The sequence below is a fragment of the Homo sapiens genome, chromosome 7, assembly GCF_000001405.40.
Source record: "Homo sapiens chromosome 7, GRCh38.p14 Primary Assembly".
In the NCBI taxonomy this organism is placed as follows: domain Eukaryota; kingdom Metazoa; phylum Chordata; class Mammalia; order Primates; family Hominidae; genus Homo; species Homo sapiens.
Window position 1 is genome coordinate 139523350 of NC_000007.14, and position 22719 is coordinate 139546068.

General features: G+C 50.8%; 1 protein-coding gene and 1 pseudogene across 3 annotated transcripts, besides 2 other annotated features; both read left to right on the forward strand.

Annotated features, from left to right (window-relative positions):
• The first annotated feature begins 335 nt into the window (after positions 1-335).
• Positions 336-21636, forward strand: CLEC2L (C-type lectin domain family 2 member L). 3 transcript variants are annotated; one of them, NM_001080511.4, is made up of 5 exons: positions 336-768; positions 12925-12999; positions 16972-17138; positions 18672-18772; positions 20882-21636. In NM_001080511.4, exons 1-5 carry the CDS (start codon positions 579-581, stop codon positions 20991-20993), a joined length of 645 nt encoding a protein of 214 aa, NP_001073980.2. In that variant the 5' UTR covers positions 336-578; the 3' UTR covers positions 20994-21636. The 3 variants fall into 3 exon arrangements, with proteins under 3 accessions (NP_001073980.2, NP_001340297.1, XP_016867259.1); XM_017011770.3 differs by lacking the exon at positions 336-768 and adding an exon at positions 1008-1149; NM_001353368.2 differs by lacking the exon at positions 12925-12999.
• ERHP1 (ERH pseudogene 1) lies at positions 10845-11612 on the forward strand (annotated as a pseudogene).
• Positions 18286-19059: an enhancer, noted in NCBI's record as "H3K4me1 hESC enhancer chr7:139226381-139227154 (GRCh37/hg19 assembly coordinates)". NCBI's record gives its function as "activates a minimal SCP1, AML or CMV promoter by ChIP-STARR-seq in naive H9 embryonic stem cells {active_cell/tissue: H9 hESC(naive)}" and the evidence as "EXISTENCE:reporter gene assay evidence [ECO:0000049][PMID:30033119]".
• Positions 20977-21578: an enhancer, noted in NCBI's record as "H3K4me1 hESC enhancer chr7:139229072-139229673 (GRCh37/hg19 assembly coordinates)". NCBI's record gives its function as "activates a minimal SCP1, AML or CMV promoter by ChIP-STARR-seq in naive H9 embryonic stem cells {active_cell/tissue: H9 hESC(naive)}" and the evidence as "EXISTENCE:reporter gene assay evidence [ECO:0000049][PMID:30033119]".

The window sequence follows — 22719 nt, forward strand, 5'->3', positions numbered from 1 at the left end:
AAGTCACAGCCCCTACCACCCTCTGCTGTGGCTCCAGGGCAGCCGGGAAGAAAGGCGCTCATCTTCCCTGAGCCTCCCTGCACTGTCCCCGCGAACTTTATTCCCATTTTCACAGATGGTGAGCAGGCGGCTGGGGAGATGGAGCTGAGTTAGAACCAGGTCTCCCGGCTCCAAGACTGCGCTCCCAGCTCGACAGCATCCAGCCTCCAGCCCAGGTGGCGGGGTCGGGGAGCCGGCTGTCCCCGCTCCTCCGCGCCTCCTCCCTCTCCGCCCCTGCCCCGCCCCGCCCGGGTCCACGGCTCCCGGCTCCCGCGCGCCGCCTCGCGCTCCTCCCCAGCCCGGCTGTGCGTGGAGGCTGCGGCTCGGCGGGGCAGGCGCTGAGCGCACCGCGGCGGCACCCGGCGCAGAGGCTCCAGCGCGGGGAGCCGGGCTCAGCCCCGGCCTGCCAGCGCCGCGGTCCTAGCCCACCCGAGGCCGGCCTGGGGGGCCCGCAGGGCGCGCGGAGCGCCGAGTGCGCGTCGGGCTGGGCCCCGCACCCCGGTGCAGGAGCGCGGGCGCGGCGCGGCGGAGCGCCCCGCATGGAGCCGGCCCGGGAGCCCCCCTCGCGGGCCCGGCCGCCGCCGCCCCTCGCCGCGCGCCCCGCGCCCGCCCCCGCCGCCCCCAGGCCGCGTTCGCCCGCAGAGGCTGAGGCCCGCGGCCCCGAGGGGCTGCTGCGGCGATCCGGGTCGGGCTACGAGGGCAGCACCAGCTGGAAGGCGGCCTTGGAGGGTAAGCGCGGAGCGGCCTCCCTCTCCTGGCCCAGGGACCCCTGCCCAGGCCCGACCCGCGACCCGGAGGCGGTCAGAGTCACCTTGGCCGCTGTCCCGGAGGGGAGCGCTGGGAGCGCGGCGCCGGGACGCGGCGGAGTCATTCATTTCAGGGCGGCCAGACGCCGGTTCGTGGGGTGGGGTGGGAGGGAACCGGGGGCCACCGCGAGTCACAGCCTCGACCCCGCCTCTGCTGCGACTCCCTCTCTGACCTTGGAGCGGGCTTCACGCTCTGAGCCTTCGTCTCCTCACGCATGAAGGGGACAAACACTGCCTGACACCCACCAGACAGGCGTGTTGAGAGGGTGGCGGAATCTGTGGTCGTGAACACGCTTCGAGTAAAGTAAGAAAGCTGGAGACCCCAGAGGTGGTGCCCGCCCCTGTGAGAGCCGCGGGGACCCCGTGGTGGTGGGGCATGTGGGGAGGGCAGGGCAGGGCAGGGGTGGAGAATCCAGGAGAGGCTCTTCCTTGCAAGGTCAGGGGTCACACCTACTCCTCCATCAGACTGCCTCAGGGAGGGACCCCTGGCCTGCCTCCGGGGCAGTAACCCAAGTAGAGAATTGATTTCAAGTTCATGAGCTCTTTAAGGAAACTTGTATTAGCTACCGCCGGCGGCGTGTGGTGTGGGAGATGCAGGAGTTGGTGAGAGGGTGGCTGGCCCTTTGGGTGCTTCTCAGGGTGCTCCTGGCACCCTGAATCCAAGGACAAGGAGGACCTGGGCAGCATTAACTAGGGAAGCCTGGAGCCTGGATCACCCATCCTTAGGGAGGCAGTGTCAGAAAAGGAGGGCTTCCCAGGAGTAGGTGACCTCTTAGCAGGCGTGGAGACAGAGGGGAAGGTGTTCCAGACCCAGAGCATGACGTATCCCAGGCCAGGTGGTCAGAGCTACTCTGTGCCACGTGGGAACTGAGCCCTGGAGTACTGAGATGGGGCAGGGTGGAGAGAGACGGGCCTGAAGGACCCAGACGGTGAAGGGCCAGCCAGGCCTTGCCCAGGAGCTTGGACTTTGTTCTGAAGGGGCTACTGAGGGGTGGAGATGGTGGGCTTGCCCTTGGAAGACTGGTGGTGGCCCAGAGGGGTGGGACCCAGGCTCGAGGTCAGGGAGGGGGTGGGGCAGTGGACCAGGAGGGACATAACCAGCAGCTGGGCCAAGGCAGGTCATGGGGCTGCTGAGGATGGCGAGGTGGGGATGGTAATGCCAGCCTTCTGCACAAAGGCTATGGGCCAGGGGACGTGCACTGTCCGAGGAAGGGCTGTGCAGACTCTGAAGCTGGACCACCAGACAGTGGCAGGGACAGAGGAGGCGAAGATGTTGCGTCACCAAGGAGAAGAGCTGTAGCAGAGCTGTGGGTTGTGAAGAGTTGTGTGGAATGGATGGAGGTGGTCAGACACCCCCCCGTGACGCTGTCTCCGGCTTTACTGTTGGAGTGGCCCTGTGTTCCCACGCTTCACTCCTGCCAAAGCTATTTCTTGAAGTTGTTCCCTCCTCTTGCCTGTATTTCTTCATTCATTTATTCGTCAGCATTTCTGAAGGGTCTGCCCTAACCTTAACCCCAGCCCCCATGGTAGGGCTGCTTCTGGGCTGCTGTGGCCCTTTAATGCCTCCTGCTTGCTGTTCCTGTCCACCTCCTGCCCTGACTTCCACCCCCTTGTGCTTCCTCCTCCCCACTGTGGCTGGGCTGCCCACCTGCCAGTCAGGCTGCAGAACAGACCACACACCAAGCTGGAAGGTCACCCAGAGGCTGCCTGGGGCCCTGAGTCAAGCCCACTCCCATGCTTAGCATCTTCCTGTGGTCCAGCCTTGCCTCACCATGGCCCCCTGCCTTGCCTTGCTCTCTGACTCATGCCACCTGCAGTCCCCTCCCCTTCCTTCCCCTGGTCTCCCCAGGAGCAGTCCCACTCCTGATGGCCTGTGGTCCTTGGGTACTCAGCATCTTGGGCCTACTGACTTTTCCCACAGGAGTTTTAGAATCTGGAGTCTGAGTCTGGCCAGGGGCCTCCCTTCTGCCAGTTCTCTGAAGGTCTTCTTGGGTGCCCCCAAGCTCCTCTCTTCTGAGAGGAGCCTGGGAAAGGAGCCTGAGAGGAGACAGAGGGAAAGGTGTCCCAGACCCAGAGCACGATGTGTTCTGGGCCAGGTGGCCAGAGCTAGTTTGTCCCATGTAGGAACTGAGCCCTGGAGTACTGGGGTGGGGCAGGGTAGAGAGAGACGGGTCTGGCGGACCCAGACGGAAGGAGAGGTCCTCTTCTGGAGGACCCAGAAGAAAGGAGCTCATGGAGCAGGGCTGCTCCTCTCCAGGGTGCTGCTGCATTGGCCCAGTGCTGGCTTTTGTATTTGTCTCCATCATGCATTCATTCTTTCTGCAACATCCGGGTACCATTCTGGGCCCTGGGCACATTTATGTTCTCTCAGAGGTTCCAGGACAGGGACTGAGGCAGTGTGGGGAGGTGCAGGAAGCAGAGCATCTGGTAAAGCTGGGGCAGAGCCTTCCATTGCCACAGGCTGGCGGGCTTTCCAACTTCCTGGACCATTTGCTTCCTTATCTGCCAAGTCAGGTCATGATTTCTACCTCTCAGGTAGACAGAGGCCCTGGAGTGTGGGCTGTGTGTATGGTGACTCCTCTTCCCAGCTGCCTGGACTTGGCCTCCTGCAGCCCCTGCTGGGGGAGCCCAGGCCTAACTGCAACACTTGGACTTCTGGTCAGCCTCCCTTGATTCTGCTTCCCACCCCAAACCTGAGTCCAGAGTTCACGTAATGAAACACTGTCAATGGGAGGAGGGATCTGTCCTTTGGGGACCCAGGGTTATGCTGCCCCTGCTTAGCCAAGCACTTGTCTTGAGAGAAATGGGACATTTTCTGACTTGACTGAGCTGAACCCTCCAAGAAGTCTCTGCTCCTTTATCACCATGTGCCCAATGCACATCAAGCACCTGCTACGTGCTGGAGCCTTGCTGGGGCTTTCATAGTCATCATCTCAGTCCTCACCTCTCCCCTTGCAGGGGGGCTGGTGAGTGTTCTGTTTCATAGATGAGGGAGCCGAGACTGAGAGCCTGAGTGTCTTGCCCAAGGACATCCTTGGTTGCTATCACATGAAAGCCCTGTTGTGAAGGCTCTGACCCCTTCCTGCATGGCCAAGGACGTCAGCCTTGGTGAAGCTAGCTGGGGATCATCAAATTCCCACACACACGCTCTCCTCCCCCTGCTCCCCAGACAACCCTGCCACCTCCAGCACTGACGTTTCCCTCCTTATGGGTTAAATGAGTCAGAGAGCTTCTTAAAGCAGAAAGCTGGGATTAGAGCCCAGGTCTTTAAGACTTTTCTGAGATGAATAACTAGCTTTATAAACAGGAAGCCAAACAGAAGTTGCCTTAATCAAGTCTTTTCTCTCGCTGTAGATATGAACCTTTCCTTCCAGCCTGGGGTATAAGGCTAGAAAAGGTGACCCGGAGAGCCCGCCTGGGTTCTGGGAACAAGAGAAGTGATTCGAGATGGGCATATTTCTGGCATTGAGAGTGGCAGTGGGGCAGAGTGGCCTGGGGGTATGGGAGAGGGGACAGAGTGAGCCTGCGTGCCTCAGCCTATAGATTTTTTAGTGCTCACCGATTCTGAATTTTTAATGTTGAAAGTTTCTTGATTAGGCATAAACCCACAACTTCCTGATCAAAACCACACACATGCTTTTAGCCTCTTAAAAATTTAAAAATTACCAAACTTCACATTTGGTAGTTTTTAACAGTCAAGATTATGCTTGCCAGGCTGTGTCCCCGATGACTTAGAGACAGCAGCATGGGCCTTTTTTGGGATATGAGTGTGAGGATGATGGGAGCTTTGTCTGGGCCTGGGAGTCAGGTTTTTTCAGTTGTTCCTTCTAAAATTAGGTGAAATCACACACATTTAGAAACCTAAATAAACTACACCCTTATACGCCATCTAATATGGGCCATGGCATAGTAGGGAACAAGTAATGAGTTAGACATTTGTTAGAAGTTGAATTGTGTCCCTACCAAAAAAGAGATATTGGAGTCTTAACCTCTGGTACCTCTGAATGTGACTGCATATGGAAATACAGTCTGGCAGATTATTTGTAGTTAAGATGAGGTCAGACTGGAGTAGAGTGGGCCCTAATCCCATATGAACTGGCATCCTTATAAGAAGATGGTCACATGAAGACAAAGGCACTGTATTAGTCCGTTCTCACACTGCTAATAAAGACATACCCAAGACTGGGTAATTTATAAAGGAAAGAGGTTTAATGGACTTACAGTTCCACATGGCTGGGGAGGCTTCACAATCATGAAGGAAGGTGAAGGAGGAGCAAAGACACGTCTTACATGGTGGCAGGCAAGAGAGTGTGTGCAGAGGAACTGCCCTTTATAAAACCATCAGATCTTGTGAGACTTACTCACTATCACAAGAACAGCATGATTTGGGAAAAACCTGCCCCCATGATTCAATTACCTCCCACCCAGTCCCTCCCATGACACATGGGAATTATGGGAACTATAATTCAAGATGAGATCTGGGTGGGGACATAGTTGAACGACATAAGACACACAAAGAGAATACCATGTGATGATAAAGGCAGAGATTGGACTGATGTGGTTGCAAGCCAAGGAGTGCCAAAGTCCGTCAGCAACCACTGGACACTAGGAAGAGGCAAGGAAGGAGCCCCTGCAGAGGTCAGAGGAAGCATGGTCCAGTGCAGCACCTAGAGAAATTATCCCTGAGACATAATGAAGAGGCACCTTGGGTCTGGCAGTGCTGCAGATACATGTACCGATCCCTCTTCCCTGTGTGGTCTTTCCTACAAACTCAGTTGAATTTAAAGTTGACCAAGGATGTTGTCATTTGGTGTAACTAAATTTCTCCCATAGTTTTTGAGTTCCAGTGGGTGCTCTGTAACATGCAGGGCAATGACCCAGCCCTCTTTCAGGCAATCTGAAGGTGAGTAAAGCACAGTCCTTACCCCAAAGCACAGTCCTTACCCCAAAGGAGCCTAGGGCTGATGGTCATCATCACACTGATGGCCTGCATAATCACCGCGAGTTGATTGAATAGAGTTTACCATGCCAGGCACTGTGCTAAGCACTGTACACTGAATTCCTATAACTCTCTAAGAGACAGGTAGATATTATCATTACCTCATTTTCAAGATGAGGAAAATGAACTACAATAGAGGCTAAGAAACTTTACCATCCATACACATCTAGAAAATGGCAGAGCTAAGATTTGAACCCAGGCAAAGTGATGTCAGATGTTATGCCCTTATCTTCAGTGCACAAAGGATTACAGCATCAATGATAGAGAAGAGGCTAATAGAAGGGAGAAGAAGGATGCACTCAGCATGCTCACCATAGGCAGCCATCGTGTAGCTCCAGGAAACTGTGATGAAGCTGCCACCAAGGACAGCAGAGCATGAACAGAGAGAGCCCAGTCCTCCAGTGCAGGCTGAAACCTCTGCTCTTACCATGTCTGAAGCTACCCACCCAGGACTCCTGGTAACTTGCCAACATAGACCTTGCCAATAGGAAAGACTGGAAATGTTTGTTGGACTTGCAGGTCAAGATGGCGAACTGAACACATGCATTTTTTCTTTTTTCCTTCAGAAGCCCACTAATACAACAGTAAAGGGGCCAGGAGCAGTGGCTCATGCCTATAATCCCAGCACTTTGGGAGGCCGAGGTGGGTGGATCACCTGAGGTCAGGAGTTTGAGACCAATCTGGCCAACGTGGAGAAACCCCAACTCTACTAAAAATGCAATAGGTTAGCCAGGCGTGGTGATGTGCGCCTATAGTCCCAGCTACTTGGGAGGCTGAGGCAGGAGAATCACTTGAGCCTGGGAGGTGGATGTTGCAGTGAGCAAAAAAAAAAAAAACAAAATTAGCCAGGCATGGTGGCACGTGCCTCTAATCCCAGCTACTCAGGAGGCTGAGGCAGGAGAATTGCTTGAACCTGGGAGGCGGAGGTTGCAGTGAGCCAGGATTGCACCACTGTACTCCAGCTTGTGTGACAGAGCGAGACTCTGTGTCAAAAAAAAAACCAAACCAAACCAAACCAAACAGCAAGGGGATTTTTAAAAGGCCATAAGGACAAGAACAAGAGAGAAAATAGCAACAAAATAGAGAGCTAAGGAACAAGTGGATAAACGGTAACTGACTTCACCCCATCTGAGAAAGTCCAGAGAGCAGAGGAGTTACCTGAGCCTCATGGGAGGACCTCTAAGGCTCAGGGGTTGGTGGCAGTGCTTGAAGATGGGGCTGAGAACAGGAGGACTGGTTGAAAATTTCTTTAAGGAGGATTTAGATTCCCATTCTGTACAGATTCTCTCCAGCTCTGGCAGGAACCTGAGGTGAAATCTCTCAAGAAAGAGGGCTTCAGCTGGGCATGGTGGCTCACGCCTATAATCCCAGCACTTTGAGAGGCCGAGGCTGGCGGATCACCTGAGGTCAGGAGTTTGAGACCAGCCCGACCAACATGGTGAAACCTCATGTCTACTAAAATTACAAAAATTAGCCGGGTGTGGTGGCGGGTGCCTATAATCCCAGCTACTCAGGAGGCTGAGGTGGGAGAATTGCTTGAACCCAGGAAGCAGAGGTTGCAGTGAGCTGAGATCGCACCACTGTACTCCAGCCTGGGTGACAGAGTGAGACTCTTGTCTCAAAAAAAAAAAAAAAAAAAAAAATAGGGCCTCTAGACATCACCACACTGAGAGCAAGCAACTAAGCCAACATTTACATACTGAATGCTGAGGACAGCATCCCAGCCTCTTCCCTCAGCTAGCCCTGTATTCTCCTGGGGAGAAAACAGAAAAGCCTCCTCCATGGACTCTCATCCATCCAAGAGGAAAAACATAATGAAATTAGCATTCAGAGAATCCCAAGAATCAGCCCAGCCAGATCACTCTACTGTGTCCCCCACAGTTAATAAGCCCCTATCTATGGGCTTGGAGGCTCCAGTGAACTCATTAGTCTTCCTGCCTTAATCATGAACAGATAACTGTGGTCCCCAGACCCCTGAGGAAAGTCTCTAACATGGAAGCTCAAGACCAAAACAGAGGTTATACAGGGAGAAATAATCTTTCTGCTCATTTCCCCCACCCCTCCAAAAAACCTGTCAGTCATATCTTCAGAGAGAAGAGTTAAGAGAAAGTATTGCATCATTAAAACAAGAATAGGATTCTTTAAGAGGGGGTATTCATAGAGCAGCAGCAACAAAACCAAACAAACCTTGGAAATTAAAAATATAGTCACAGAAATTAAGAACTCAGTAGAAGGGTAGGATGATAAAATTGAGAAAATGTTCCACGAAATAGAGCAAAAAGGCAAAGATATAGCAAACAAGAGGGGAAAATAAGATGAGAAATTTGGAGGACCAATCTAAGAGATCCAACATTTGAAGACTATGACTTCCAGAAAGAAAACAAAACATGGAAGAGAAGAAAACATCAATAATATAATTAAAGAAAATTTCCTGGCTGGGCATGGTGGCTCATGCCTGTAATCCCAGCACTTTGGGAGGCTGAGGCGGGTGGATCACCTGAGGTCAGGAGTTCAAGACCATCCTGGCCAACATGGTGAAACCCCATCTCTACTAAAAATACAAAAAATTAGCCAGGTGTGATGGCAGGCACCTGTAATCTCAGCTACTTGGGAGGCTGAGGCAGGAAAATTGCTTGAACCCAGGAGGTGGAGGTTGCAGTGAGCTGAGATCATGCCATGGCACTCCACCCTGGGCAACAGAGCAAGACTCTGTCTCAAAAAAAAAAAGAAAAAGAAAAAGAAAAAAAATTTCCTGGAACTGAAAAACATCACTTTCCACATTGAAAGGGCCTACTAGAGTAGATGAAATAGACCAAACCAAGGCATGGCATGCAATGATGAAATTTTAGAACATTGTGCAATGAAGACCCTAAAAGCATCTAGAAAGAAAATAATTAAGCAGTTGAAAAGGATCATGGGTGAGAATGGACCTAGACTTTTCAAAAGCAACACTGGAGCTAGAAGACAATTAAGTAATACCTTCAAAATTCTGAAGGAGAATTATTCTTGATCTATAATACTCAGTCCTCTGAGTTCACAATTCCATGGGCAACATTCACCAGTTCACCATGGAACACAATGAGAAGCGTTGATCCTTGGATTTGTGCAGTGCAGTGGTTTTGCTCTACCCTTCCTCAGGCAGCCATTGGATGATGTGCTTCACCAAGATGAGGGAGTAAACCAAGGGAGGGGAAGACATGGGAGAAAAGGAACAGAGGAGCCAACATAGGAGAGAGGCAGAGAAATCCTCAGGCTGCCGGTGTGGGGAGACCCTGGATGGCAGCTGGGCTTAGAAGGCAACTAGTCAGATTCAAGCAGGTCAGAAAGTTCCAAGGGACATTTCTTCAAGATGGGTGTTATGGCCTGCACGTTGGTTTCCTCCCCAAATTTATAGGTTGAATCACTAACCTCCAATGTGATGATATTGAGGTGGGTAATTGAGCGGTAATTAGATTTAGATGAGGTCATGAGGGTAGAGCTCCTGTGATGGAATTAGGACCCTTATAAGAAAAGGAACAGACACCAGAACTTCCTCTCTCCGCTATGTGAGGACTCAGTAAGAAAGCGGCTGTCAGCAAGCCAGGAAGTGGGCCCCTACCAGAACCTGACCATGCTGGCACCCTGATCCAGCCTCTAGAACTATTAGGAGAAATAAATGTCTGTTGTTTAAGCCACCCAGTCTATGACAGTTTGTTATAGCAGACTGAACTAAGACCAAAGTGAAAGAGAAATTCCGATATTGTCTCATCATGAAAGAGGCGTTTTGGTGTTGAAATAATGATACCCATACAGAAACTGAGCAAAGGGAAAAGAAGACCAGGATTAACAGGGAAACAAGAAGTTCTATGGAAATGATCATAGCACACGGCATGGCTTTGCTGAGAGTACTGTTTATGCTGAGCTAAGTATATAACACCAAAGTATCAAGCTAATACAAACTATGATATTGAGAAGGCAGGGACTGAGTGGTCAGGGTAGAATGGTAATGCAGAGAATTAAGTCTGCATCATTATAATGGAAAATGAATAAATTATATCTAAAACAGAAAAAAATCTAGAAGTATTTACATACACATGGCACTTAGAAATTTGGAGCTAATACCAAAAGAGTCAGCTAAAAGAGTTGACAGTGGTTGGCTTTGGGGAAGGAGCAATGTTATTACTACTATTATTAGTTTTTGGAGACAGAGTCTCGCTTTGTCGCTCAGACTGGAGTGCACTGATGCGATCTTGGCTCACTGCAACCTCCGCCTCCTGAGTTCAATCGATACTTCTGCCTCAGCCTATCGAGTAGCTGGGATTACAGGCACACACCACCACACCCGGTTAATTTCTGTAATTTCTGTAGAGACAAGGTTTCACCAGGTTGGCCAGGCTGGTCTCGAACTCCTGACTTCAAGTGATCTGCCTGCCTCAGCCTCCCAAAGTGTTGGGATTACAGGTGTGAGCCACTGCGCTCTGCACTATTATTTTTTAAATGAAGCCTTTTAGAATTTCTTGATTCCTTAAATCTGTGCTTTTCAGACTATCTTTGGTGAAGGAAACAGGTTTCTTTTTAAAATCCTTTGTAAAATACAATACAAATGAATAACTAGCAGCAGGCACTTGGATGTCGGGTAATTGCTACAGATTCTTCCTCTCAATTTTGGCACTTATATCATGATGGACAAGTAACAGTTTACAGACAAACATTGAGCTGCAGAGGCACTGTTTTCATCTATGATTTATGTATAACATTGACTAAAAAAACACTTTCAAAGTGGGGGCACAACAATGTAACTGTACTTAACTGTGCACTCAATGGTTAAGATGGTAAAAAAAAATCCAAACAAAATTGTAAAGGGAATTCACACCTGCTAGGAGGGCTGTAATCAAAACAATGCAAACCAACAAGTATTGGTGAGAGGATGTGGAGAAACTGGAACCCTTGTCTGTTGCTGGTGAGAATGTAAAATTATGCAACCAATGATGGAGTTAGTCTTTCCTCAGAAAGAACTACCGGTAGCAGCGGTGGTGTCGGCAGCGGCTGTAGCAAAGAGTTTGGCGCGATGTCTCACACCATTTTGCTGATACAGACTACCAAGAGGCCAGAAGGCAGAACTTATGCTGACTACGAATCTGTGAATGAATGCATGGAAGGCGTTTGTAAAATGTATGAAGACATGTGAAAAGAATGAATCCCAACAGTCCCTCTATCAAATATGACATCAGTCAGTTGTTTGATTTCATCAATGATCTGGCAGACCTCAGCTGCCTGGTTTACCGAGCTGATACCCAGACATACCAGCCTTATAAAAAAAGACTGGATTAAAGAGAAGATCTACATGCTTCTTCATCGGCAGGCTCAACAGGCTGATAAATAATTGTATTGGAAGCATTAGGGGGGTTGGGGGTGGGCTTGGAACACAGGTGAGTACGGTGTGCTGTAGCGGAAGTTTTGTATCATAGTAATCCTGTTTCCACTTTGTTATACTCTAGCCAAGATTGGCTGTATTAGATGAAATGTGAAGTTCTTTTTCCATTTGGAAACCCCCGTTGCCCCCTCTTTTTTTCTTTTCTTCCTTTTTTTTTACTTAAACATTTTTATGATGATTTAGATGGAAGTTGTTCTTCCTCAATTAATGTTGGTTCCAGTCCTTCCACTGTTTATATCTGCTTTATAACGTTCACTGTAGTAACCCTTCTTCAAGATGGGGTGGGGGATGGAAACGCAGTTTAGCCATGTCCTCAAGATAAAATTTTGGTAAAAATAAATAAGTGTTCTTTAGTAAAAAAAAAAAAAACAAAAGAACAACAACAAAAAAACCTACCATGTGATCCAGCAACTCCACTCCTAAGCATATACCCAAAAGAATTGAAAGCAAGGACTTGAACAGATACTCATACACCATGTTCATAGCTGCGTTATTCACAATAGCCAAAAGGTGGAAACAGCCCAAATGTCTACCAACAGATGAATGGATAAACACAACGTGGTCTTGCTATACGATGGAACATTATTCAGCCTTAAGATGGAATGAAGTTCTGACATGTGTGACAACATGGATGAGCCTTGTAAACAATCTGTGAAAGGAACCAGACACAAAAGGAAAAAGATGTTTCCTCTTATATGAGATTCCTAGAGTGGTCCAATTCATAGAGACAGAAAGTAGAAGGGTGGTTGCCCGGGGCTGGGGAGAGGAGGGGATGGGAGTTGTTTAAGGGAACAGAACTTCTGTCTGGGATGATGAAAAAGTTTGCAAACAGACAGTGATGATGGTTGCACAACATTGTGAGTGTACTTAATGCCACTAACCGTACACTAAAAAATGGTTAAAATTGCAAATTTTATGTTATATATTTTCATCACAATTTTTAAAATCCTTAAAATACCCTATGTTTAACGTCTAAAAGGGTTATCTCGTTAAATATAAAATGAGAATATTAAATGATAACAAAATAAAATAAATACATGAAAATAACAAAGAGAGAACCCAGAGGATCAGGAAGAGGATGGATGGTGTAGAGGTGGGTGAATTTTAGGAAGTATCTGTGGAGGAGGTGGAGGAGGAGATTTCGGGAGCAAAGATTCAGTAGCAGGGCTGTGAGGGCTGAACGGGTTATTTTGAGGAACCCATGCGGCTGAAACCTGCGACCGCATAGAGAAGCAGCAGGAGATTCAAGATGGAAAGCTCTGACCATCACTGAAGATTTCATGAGCAGTGGGTAGCCCCCCGGCAGGGAGGGTTTCAAGCCAGGGAGTCACAGAATCAGAGCTGCGCTCTACAGCAGTGGATCGCAAACTCCAGCCTGCATCAGAATCACCTGGAGGGCTTTAAACACAGCTTGTTGGCCAGGTATGGTAGCTCATGCCTGTAATCCCAGCACTTTGGGAGGCCAAGGCGGGTGGATCATTTGAGGTCAGGAGTTCGAGACCAGCCTGGCCAACATGGTGAAACCCCATCTCAAAACAACAACAACAACAAAACACAGCTTGCTGGGCTCTACCTCCCCCTGTTTCTCATTAGCAGGGTATGGGGCTGGCAGTGGGACTGGCGGTGGGATGGGCGGTGGGATGTTGAACCCCTCTCTCTTCTCCTAGACACCACCACACGCCTCCTGCTGGGTGCCATCGCGGTCCTTCTGTTCGCCATCTTGGTGGTGATGAGCATCTTGGGTGAGCATGCGTGTCAGAGCATTTATGCATTCAGTTTGCACATTCCTTGTTAAAAGCACGTCTAATTAGTTAAAGAAAGATTCTAGACATTCCAAGAATCCTGTGGGGGACTAAATAAGTAGAAAATACATAGTGTCAGTTGTTGAGAGTTCAGCTTAAAATAATATATTCACACACAGACTATACATGTCCCCTTCATCAAGCCATGCAAGTAGAGTAGAGATGTTACTTAGGTATTATTTTGTAAGTGTTGTGAGAACTCAGAACAAACTTGGGGTAGGTTAGGAAGACAGTGCTTCTTGGAGGAGATGGTTTGGGAATAAGGGCCTTTAAGGATCATATTCGGCCGGGCGCAGTGGCTCACGCCTGTAATCCCAGCACTTTGGGAGGCTGAGGTGGGTGGATCACCTGAGGTCAGGAGTTTGAGACCAGCCTGGCCAACATGGTGAAACCCGGTCTCTACTAAAAGTGCAAAAATTAGCCAGGTGTGGTGGTGGGTGCCAGTAATCCCAGCTAGTTGGGAGGCTGAGGCAGGAGAATCGCTGGAACCTGGGAGGCAGAGGTTGCAGTGAGTTGAGATCGCACACCACCGCACTCCACCCTGGGCGACAGAGAAAGACTCCATCTCAAAAAAAAAAAAAAAAAAAAAAAAGATCACATTCAGTCAGCATTTATTGAGTGCTGCTGTGTGTTAAGCTCTGGGCTAAGTGCTAAGGTTAAAAAAAAAAAGACGAATATGACACTGTCTCCTCTGTCCAGGGGTAAGTGCAATAATAGAGGTATTACTGCCCAGTGGCTTCCCAGAAGGAAAAAACATGTGCACTGAACCCTGGAGAATGAATAGGAGTTATCCAGAGATTAGGAGGTAGAGAGTGCTAGGGAGGAAAAACTTTTCCTGTGCCCTCTTAAGTTCAGTGTCTGGGGGCCTGTAAATTGAACTATCAAAGACAAATTAGCAGGAGAAAAGGTAACCAATGTTTATTAATATTTATGTTCATGGGAGTTCACAGATAATAAGTGAAACTCAAAGAAGAATTTAGACTCAGGGGCTTATATACCTTTTTAACAAATGAAAGAGGGTTTGGGTTTCAAGGGCTGGTGAATTGAGGGAAGTGACTAGGAAACATATAGAGGAACAATGGGAGATAAAGGCTATTTTGGTAAGGTTTGCTTGTGCAAACTAATCCTGGTGTTGATTCCTTGGCATGTTTGATGATGAGTCACTCTTCCCTCCCTGGTTTAGGGTGGGCAGTGGGGGTATGAGAGGGGATGGGGTGAGGGATGGGGAGTAGGGCAGCACCCTCCCCAAAGGGAAATTTATGCCCTACTTTTAGGGAGATGAGAGGGCAGAGAACCCTTCCTGTTGATTCTGAATTGCCTTCGGCTTAAAATGATCCATATGTCAAAGTGGCATATTTTAGGGTGGCATATTCTGGACCCCATCAAGGAAATAGAACATGCTAAGTGGAAGAGGCCTGAGAAACATAGAGTGTGTGTGGAACTGAAAGGGTTGGATAAATGAAAAAGGTAGAAACTGCAACTAAGAACATGTGAGGCTATATGAACAGGGAATCTGATTACTTTTAAGAGATTCAAATACAAGTGTATTGTAGGTTCTGAAGGGTTTGCAAAAATGATTTTAGTGCCTCTGTCTTTAATCTTTGAGAAATGCCATAAGACCAGAGGTGGAATCCACAAAATGGCGGAAAAGTCCACCAATATTATCAGTTCTTACCAAACCCTCCCCTATAGGGCTTGTATGACAAGGAGAGGGGTTCTGAGTGTTTAGAAATGGATATGGCAGCCGGGTGCAGTGGCTCAAGCCTGTAATCCCAGCACTTCGGGAGGCCAAGGTGGGTGGATCACTTGAGGTCAGGAGTTCAAGACCAGCCTGGCCAACATGGTGAAACCCTGTCTCTACTAAAAATACAAAAATTAGCTGGGCATGGTGGTGTGTACCTGTAGTCCCAGCTACTCGGGAGGCTGAGGAAGAAGAACCACTTGAACCTGGGAAGCAGAGGTTGCAATGAGCTGAGATTGTGCCACGCACTCCAGCCTGAGTGACAGAAGAGACTCTGTCTCAAAAAAAAAAAAACAAAAAACAAAAAACAAAAAAAGGTCCGGGCGTGGTGGCTCACGCCTGTAATCCCAGCACTTTGGGAGGTCCAGGTGGGTGGATCACAAGGTCAGGAGTTCGAGACCAGCCTGGCCAATATGGTGAAACCCTGTCTCTACTAAAAATACAAAAAAATTAGCTGGGCATGGTGGCACATGCCTGTAATCCCAGCTACTCAGGAGGCTGAGGCGGGAGAATTGCTTGAATCCGGGAGGCAGAGGTTGCAGTGAGCCGAGATCGCGCCACTGCACTCCAGGCTGGGTGACAGAGCGAGACTCCATCTCAAAAAAACAAAACAAAACAAAACAAACAAACAAACAAACAAAAAAGGCAACCACTGGGCCTAGCTTAAATTCAGCTGGAGTAACTCCTACAAATTAAATCAGTTTCCTTTTCCCCTCTTACTAGGTTGGGAGGCCAGAGAATGTGTAGACATAGCTAGTATGATTTTAATAAAGCACAACAGTCTCTTAGGAGATCCTTATGGAAAAGCAGTTGAAATGTAGCCACACCATGGTCAGTACTCCCAGGTGGACTTGCATCTCATTGAACAGATATATATGCCAGGGGGTGTCGATGAATGAATTGGTGTCTGTGTGGCTGGAGATCCCCAGGGGCTTGAGTACCAGAGGCCTGTTCTTGGCTCTGTCCTGGTCTACATTTTAATCAATCACTTGTATGAAAACAAACAAAAAGTATGCTTATGGAATTTGCAGCTGACAAAATCCAAAAACACAATCCCATATGACAGATGGGTGAAAGAAATCAAGATTAAAATGTATCTTGAATAACTCAAATGATGAGCCAAAGTGAATGACATAAATGTGGAAGAAATAAATATAAGGTTCTGCATTTGGATTTAAGAAGTTATTTTCACATGTTCTGACACTGGGGGAGACCTGGCTTAGAATCAGATCATATGAAAACAATCTAAGATTGTGGATTAATTCCTTTTGGCAAGGAGGCCCTTTGAGAAGCTCCGGGCTTCCTTCCCAGAAAAGTCCATGTATGCACATACCCGCCGATCTGTTCGTGGAAGCAGTCTGCAGACTGGAGATCCCATGACGACTGGAAGACAGCATGGTGGTCACTGTTGCTGCTGGTAGAGCCACATCTGATGTGTCCCGGTCTGTCCTGGTGGCAGCGATTCAGTGGTAACATGGGGACATTGCAGCGAGCAGGCAGGATGGAGAGCAACCCTTGTCAGGAATCATGGGAGAGATGGCATCTGTTTCAACCTGGATGAGGGAGGCTGGTGTGCTTCTTTGAGTAGGGGGTAGAAGACAGAGCGGGTGTCTCTGGGTCACTCCAGAGGCCTTAGACCAGCAGGTCTAGGTCACAGGGGGACAGGTTGGGACTCAACATTTAAGAACTTTCCATGCACACTGACAGCAAGGGGGTTAAAAAAATAAAAATGAAAAGAACTTCCCAGCAGTTCAGTGGTGGAATGGCAGCCTTGGTAGCTAACATGGGCATGGTTAATGACAGCGGGCAGTCTGTCCTGCTGTTGGTACCTGGCCTAGCTGGAAGGAGAGGACACATAGCCGCCAGACCTCTTCCCAGTCTGAGTTTCTGGCGTTCCATGCCTCTGGGAGTTTGGAGACAGAGGAGATCCTAACCCAGGGGCTGCCCTGCTGTCACTTCCCGTCGTGATGATGCCCCTGCCAGGCTTCCCACAGTCCCCTTTCTCATTCATTTAGTGGCCACCCTTTTACCTCCAGGCACCAGGAGAGGACAGCCACATCTGCAGTGTCCCTGCAGGACGCCAAAGCTGAGGCAGGGGAGGGAGCCACAGAAAGCAGAGTGGGACTCGGGCTGGGGGGGCGGGCAGGGCCGAGCTGGTCTCTTCCCTGCAGCTTCCAAGGGCTGCATCAAGTGCGAAGCGCCCTGCCCGGAGGACTGGCTGCTCTACGGAAGGAAGTGCTACTTCTTTTCCGAGGAACCCAGAGACTGGAACACAGGCAGGCAGTACTGCCACACCCACGAGGCGGTGCTGGCTGTGATTCAGAGCCAGAAGGAGCTGGTGAGTGTGCCAAGGTGAAGGGGGTTGGGGGAAGGGACCCTCAGGGCCCCCAACCTTGACTCTAGGGGACAGCCACACAGTAAAGGATGCAGTGTTCCCTGTGACACGTCTCCAAAGCCGCCCACCTGCTGCATAACCACTTGGGGTGCAGGCAGACCTCACAGTCTGAGCAGGTCAATGAGTGGCTCCAGTTTCCACTTCCATTGTCAAGGCCACCTATTTCAATCCAAGGCCCACTGGTTGAGGTCACTTAGTATTATAAACCAGAAGAATTACACATTATAAAGCTGGTGATGTGGTATCCACCTCTAGTACCAGCTACTCAGGAGGCTGAGGCAGGAGGATCACTTGAGCCCAGGAGTTGGGGGCTAGTCTGGGCAACATAGTGAGACCCTAGCTCTACAAAAAGTAAAAAGAAAATTAGCTGGGCATGGTGGAGTGTGCCTGTAGTCCCAGCTACTTAGGGGGCTGAGGCAGGAGGATCACAGGAGTTCGAGGCCAGCCTGGGTAACATAGCAAGACTTTGTCTCTCTTTTTTTTTGAGACAGTCTCACTCTGTCGCCCTGGCTGGAGTACAATGGTGCAATCTCGGCTCACTGCAGCCTCTGCCTCCTGGGTTCAAATGATTCTCGTACCTCATCCTCCTGAGTCGCTGGGACTGCAGCTGTGCACCACCATGCCTGGCTACTTTTTGTATTTTTAGTAGAGACAGGGTTTCACCATGTTGGCCAGGCTGGTCTCGAACTCCTGGCTTCAAGTGATCCACCCGCCTAGGCCTCCCAAAGTGCTGGTATTACAGGTGTGAGCTACCGTGCCCAGCCACAAGACTTGTCTCTTAAGGAAAAAAAAAAAGAATTACAAATTATAAATGCATTGTGAAATGTGAAAACACATTGTCATTTTCTAAAGATCCAAATCAGGACACGGTCTCTCATTTAACATCCAAAACAGTCTTAGCAACAGAAACGTGAAAGAAACACAATTAATGGAGTCTATTGGCCATTTTGGATTTTGAGGTTAACAGTGGTATTAACCAAAATAGAAGATAATCTAAAAATCACTTCTGTTTGCCTTTGATACACAGTATGATATCCCCAGTCTGCAGGGAAAGTCCCAGAAATTTGCAGGTAGGACAACCAACCTGAGCATTGAGATTTGTCCCAGATCATCCAACCAGTGGGCAATCCCCAAGCTTCCTGCAAATCAGGAATGCTGTCCTGCTGAGCCAGGAGGACAAGCCCTGTACAGCCTTCCTGGCCAGTGGCATGCACACACAGCCAGGGTCCCTTTCAAGCTGTCGGAGGCAACTGCTGTGAGGTCAGCCAGCAGCTTGGAGCCGAATTCTGGCAGCGTGACTGCAGAGGATCCTGTAACCTAGCTCCTTACTTGCGGGATTCAGCGAGACAACAGTCACTCTCCTGGCGTCTGTACATCCCGAGAGCCAGTATCTTCCAAGCTGAGGTTTGTCTTGGGATGTGACAGCAGTCAGGAGACCGCATCTGACCCTGAGGTGTCCCTTTTTCCTCGGTGCAGGAATTTATGTTCAAGTTCACGCGGAGGGAGCCCTGGATTGGACTACGCAGAGTTGGGGACGAATTCCACTGGGTCAACGGGGACCCGTTTGATCCGGACACGTGAGCTGAGGCTTCATCTTCTGGCTACCGAGCTTAGACTGAGAAAGGCCTGACTCACCCCCTGGACACAACTCCCGAAGAGAGAAGCCCTTGTTTTGTGCTAGCTAGAGATACTAGTCTCGGGGTCCAGCAGTGTGCGCCAGAGACCCAGCCATGAAAATGTCTGTACTTCTCCCTCTCTCATAAAAGTCCAGCCTGGCTTGGTGGCTCTGCCCTGCAAAGCCATCAGAGCTTCGCGGTGTCCGGCCCAGGGTCTCTCCACCCTTGAGTCCCTGATCTGTGCAGCCTGGCGCTTGTCGGCTCCACTCAGTGTGGCGCAACCACATCCCATTCAGCCAGAACGGGACAGAGAATGGGAGGGAGGGCCCTGGATGGCCTCACCCCATTGGCCAGAACTTAGTCACATGGCCGCACCTGGCCGCAAGGGAGGATGGGAGATGCGCCTCTGTCCCGGGCAGCCTCGTGCCACCTAAGCACTGTAGCTGTGGAAGAAAGGGGATCTGAAGGCAGGCACCTGGGAGTGTTCTAGGTCACATTTTACTGGCGAACGCATCTCTTGATGGACGGAGCGCTGCTGAGGTGGTGGCGTGTGCCGTGGCGGTTTTGTAAGACTCAAGTGGAGTGGATGTGAGTGTGTGATGCCAGGTCTGGTGTGTGGTGTGGGGGTGATGGTCATGGGCGGAGTGGGTGGCAGATGTGTGGCTGTGGCAGTACAGTGGTGACTGTGTGGGGCGTGGGGAAAGGAGTGGTCTAGGCCGAGAGAAATGCAGGGAAGTGTGCAGAGGGAAGTGGGACCCGCAGAACAGACCCTGTGGCTGGAGGAATAGGCTCTGAGGTGCCAGCCGGAGGGCATGGGGTGGGGTGGGGAACACAGCTCCTAACCCGATGATGATGATGATGCGTGAACGTCCCCAAGGCAGGGGCTAAAGCAGAAGGGCATCTGAGACCCTGGGATCCTCCTGGTTGCCAGAGGTGGCCATCAGCTGCCCTCCCACCTGAGGATGGCTTAGGCAGTCACGCCCATGGCAGCCCTGGAGGCAGGGGCATTCATGATGCTTCCCCTCCTCCTCCTTTTCCTTATCTCAAGCACTCTTCATTTTTGCCCTTACTCTGGCCTCAGTGCCCCTTCCTTATCTCACCCCCTTTCCTGTCCCCCTCTCAGGTCTGCTCTCTCAGAGTGGCTGAGGAGGTCTTGCGCTTTGCACCCCTCTCCCTGCTTTTCTGGAAGCTTCTTGCTCTCAGAGCCCTGCAGGCTGGGGTCCGTGGCGTGCTGACCACCTGACAACCAAGGGGCCGTTGGCCACATTTCTCAGACACTGCAGAGGTCCTTTCCCTTGCACTCCTTCTTGGGGTCCTTCCAATGCCCTCTGTTGTGAGGGTCTACCTCCAGCCTTGGCAGGGATCGGAGGTCCGGGTGAACAACTAAGGCTAAGAAGAAACCTCTGAGGCTGGAAAGGGGTGATTTGAGGTAGGGGGGAATCCTCCCACCACACCCATCTGTGTGTGATGTCAATGAGTTCCTGTGCAACCCAGCCTCAGTTAGCCCATATTGGGGTCATTGCAGCCTACCCCTAACCTGTGAGGGGTAGCTGACTTCAGCCAGCTCTGCAGAGCTCCTCCTGTGTGCTCAACTCTGCGCACTGCAGGGAGCCAAGATGAGAGCGCACAGAGCTCACTGCTCAGGAGATGGCTGCTTTGGGGACCTGTGTGGACAGACAGGTAGAGGCCCCAGGGGGCTATGGGAGTGCCCCACAGAGCAGGCAGGGGACTGTGGGGAAGTAGAGTGGGCAGAGAGTGGCCCTGAACTGGGTGCCATGGAGCCTGGGACATGTGAGCCGACCCTGCAAGGACATTGAGAATGGGGAAGTGCATGTGTGTCCAGGAAATGTCTCAGCAGCGTGCCAGGGTGGCTGGAGCTACGGTGCACAGAGTAGGGAGACAATGGGATGCCAAGCTAGAACAGTCTGTTGGCCCAAATGTCCTAGAAGGCAGCTCCAGTGATGAAGTGAGGGAGGGATAGGTCACAGGGCCTCCATGGCCTCCCCTGCCACTGGGTTTTGGGCTGAATGTTCCAGATCATAAACGCCTGGTCTTCTCTCCTGGCCACAGGTTCACCATCGCAGGTCCAGGGGAGTGTGTCTTCGTGGAGCCCACCAGGCTGGTGTCGACGGAGTGTCTGATGACCCGGCCCTGGGTGTGCAGCAAGATGGCCTATACTTGAGGTGGGTGGGGCCAGAGGTGGCCCCGCCCCTAGGCCTGTGGGAGGTGTCTGGTGTCTGCTCAAGACCTGCTTCCAGCGGAGCCGCCTGCCCTCTGCAAGGCGAAGCGGTGGGTGCGTGGCCTCCGCCCCAGGCCCCTCTCCCAGGCCCTGGCGCTCTGAGTCCCTGGTTCCTGGCCTCCTTTGTCTGCAGGCAGGTCGTGTGGCTCAGCAGTTAAATCCCATATGCTAGGTAGTGTAGGCATCTGCCCACCTACACACACACACATGCATAGGTACACGCACGCACAGACGCTGTCCCTTCTGAAGCTCAGTGTCCATCCTGAGCCACCCCACAGATCTCTCTCCGGCCCCCTAGAAGCCCTCTCCTCACTGCAGCCCTGGTGCTCTGGGGAAGGAGGGGCATTGACAGGTGGTTTGACTGTTCACCCAGCAGCCCCGCTTCCCCACTGGTTTCTCTCCTGGCTGCCGGCGGAGGTAGGCTGGGAAAGCTTCCCCCTCACCTAGGCCGGGCCAGCCCCGCCCCGGGCCCCAGAGGTCCCCTGCATCCCCCTTCTTTGCCTTGCCTGGGTTCTCAGGCAGGGCCCCTGCTGTGTCCGTGGTGCTGTTGTATTGGTCACTAACGGAATAAAGAGTTAATATCTCATGTCCAGAGAAGTCTGCCGCCATTTGTTCCAGAGTCAGAGCTCGGGGAGGGGCAGAGAGGGGCACATCTCTGGGTGCCAGTCTGTGGGGGCTACCACAAAATGCACCTGCTCTAGTGCAGCAGATAGCGGTGTGTGAGGATGAAAAAAAAGCACCTTCTGGCCTCAGGACATCGTTTCATGTTGCTAAGCCTTTAAGGTATTCTTACGTGGCTGTTCCAGCTCCTTCATTGCTAGTCACCTCAAGATGACAAACGTTTATTCACACCTACCGCAAGCCAGACACCACACCAGGCATGGGGGATCTCTGGCCTTAATCCCCCAAGAAGCACGCAAGGAGCAGAGGAAACAGTTCAGAAAGTGCTAGAACATTCTGGAACATAGTCAAGGGATGGTTTATTCTGCATCGGGGCAGGATGGAATGAAGTGAACATGAAAATTAGGTGGTGTTCACATTGGGCTGGAAAAGAGTTTGTGAAAGTCTTATGGCCTCTTCCTATCCCCCTTGAGCTGCCTGGGGAGGAAGCAGTCGGGGCATGGGGTTGGCAGGCAATGCCCTCGGGTCTGTGGGGGCTCCATGCTCTCCTCCACACACACTTGAGGCTCCAGCTGTGGAGCCCAGGCCTCTCCAGCCTCCTGATAACCCCGGGCAGATGAGATGTGGGTGGCCTGCCTGGGAGCCCAGTGTGTGCATTTGGGTCCTGGCCCATTTTCAGAAAATAGCTCAGAGAAACCGGGTCCTGCTGTGCTCTGCACAGTCCTAGTACTGGTTTTACAGTCTTCAGACAAAACCACCAACTTGGGTTTGTTACATTTTCCGCGTGCTTTCCAGATATTTCATAAAATACAGGTGGTTTATGGTTTTATATTTTGCTGTCACTGGGAAGCCAGTGGGGCACCTGAGTATACAATAAAGTAGTTAAGGGAATTCAGCTGGTGATGGTGGGCCTGTAGGGGTGGCTGTGAGGGGCTGAGGGGCGAGGAAGTGGTCAGCTGCTGCCACTTCTCCGGTGGGAGTCCCACACTCCCACCTGTTCTCAGTTACATATAAGCCCGTGTTTCTCACCAGTATCCACCCCTCAAAG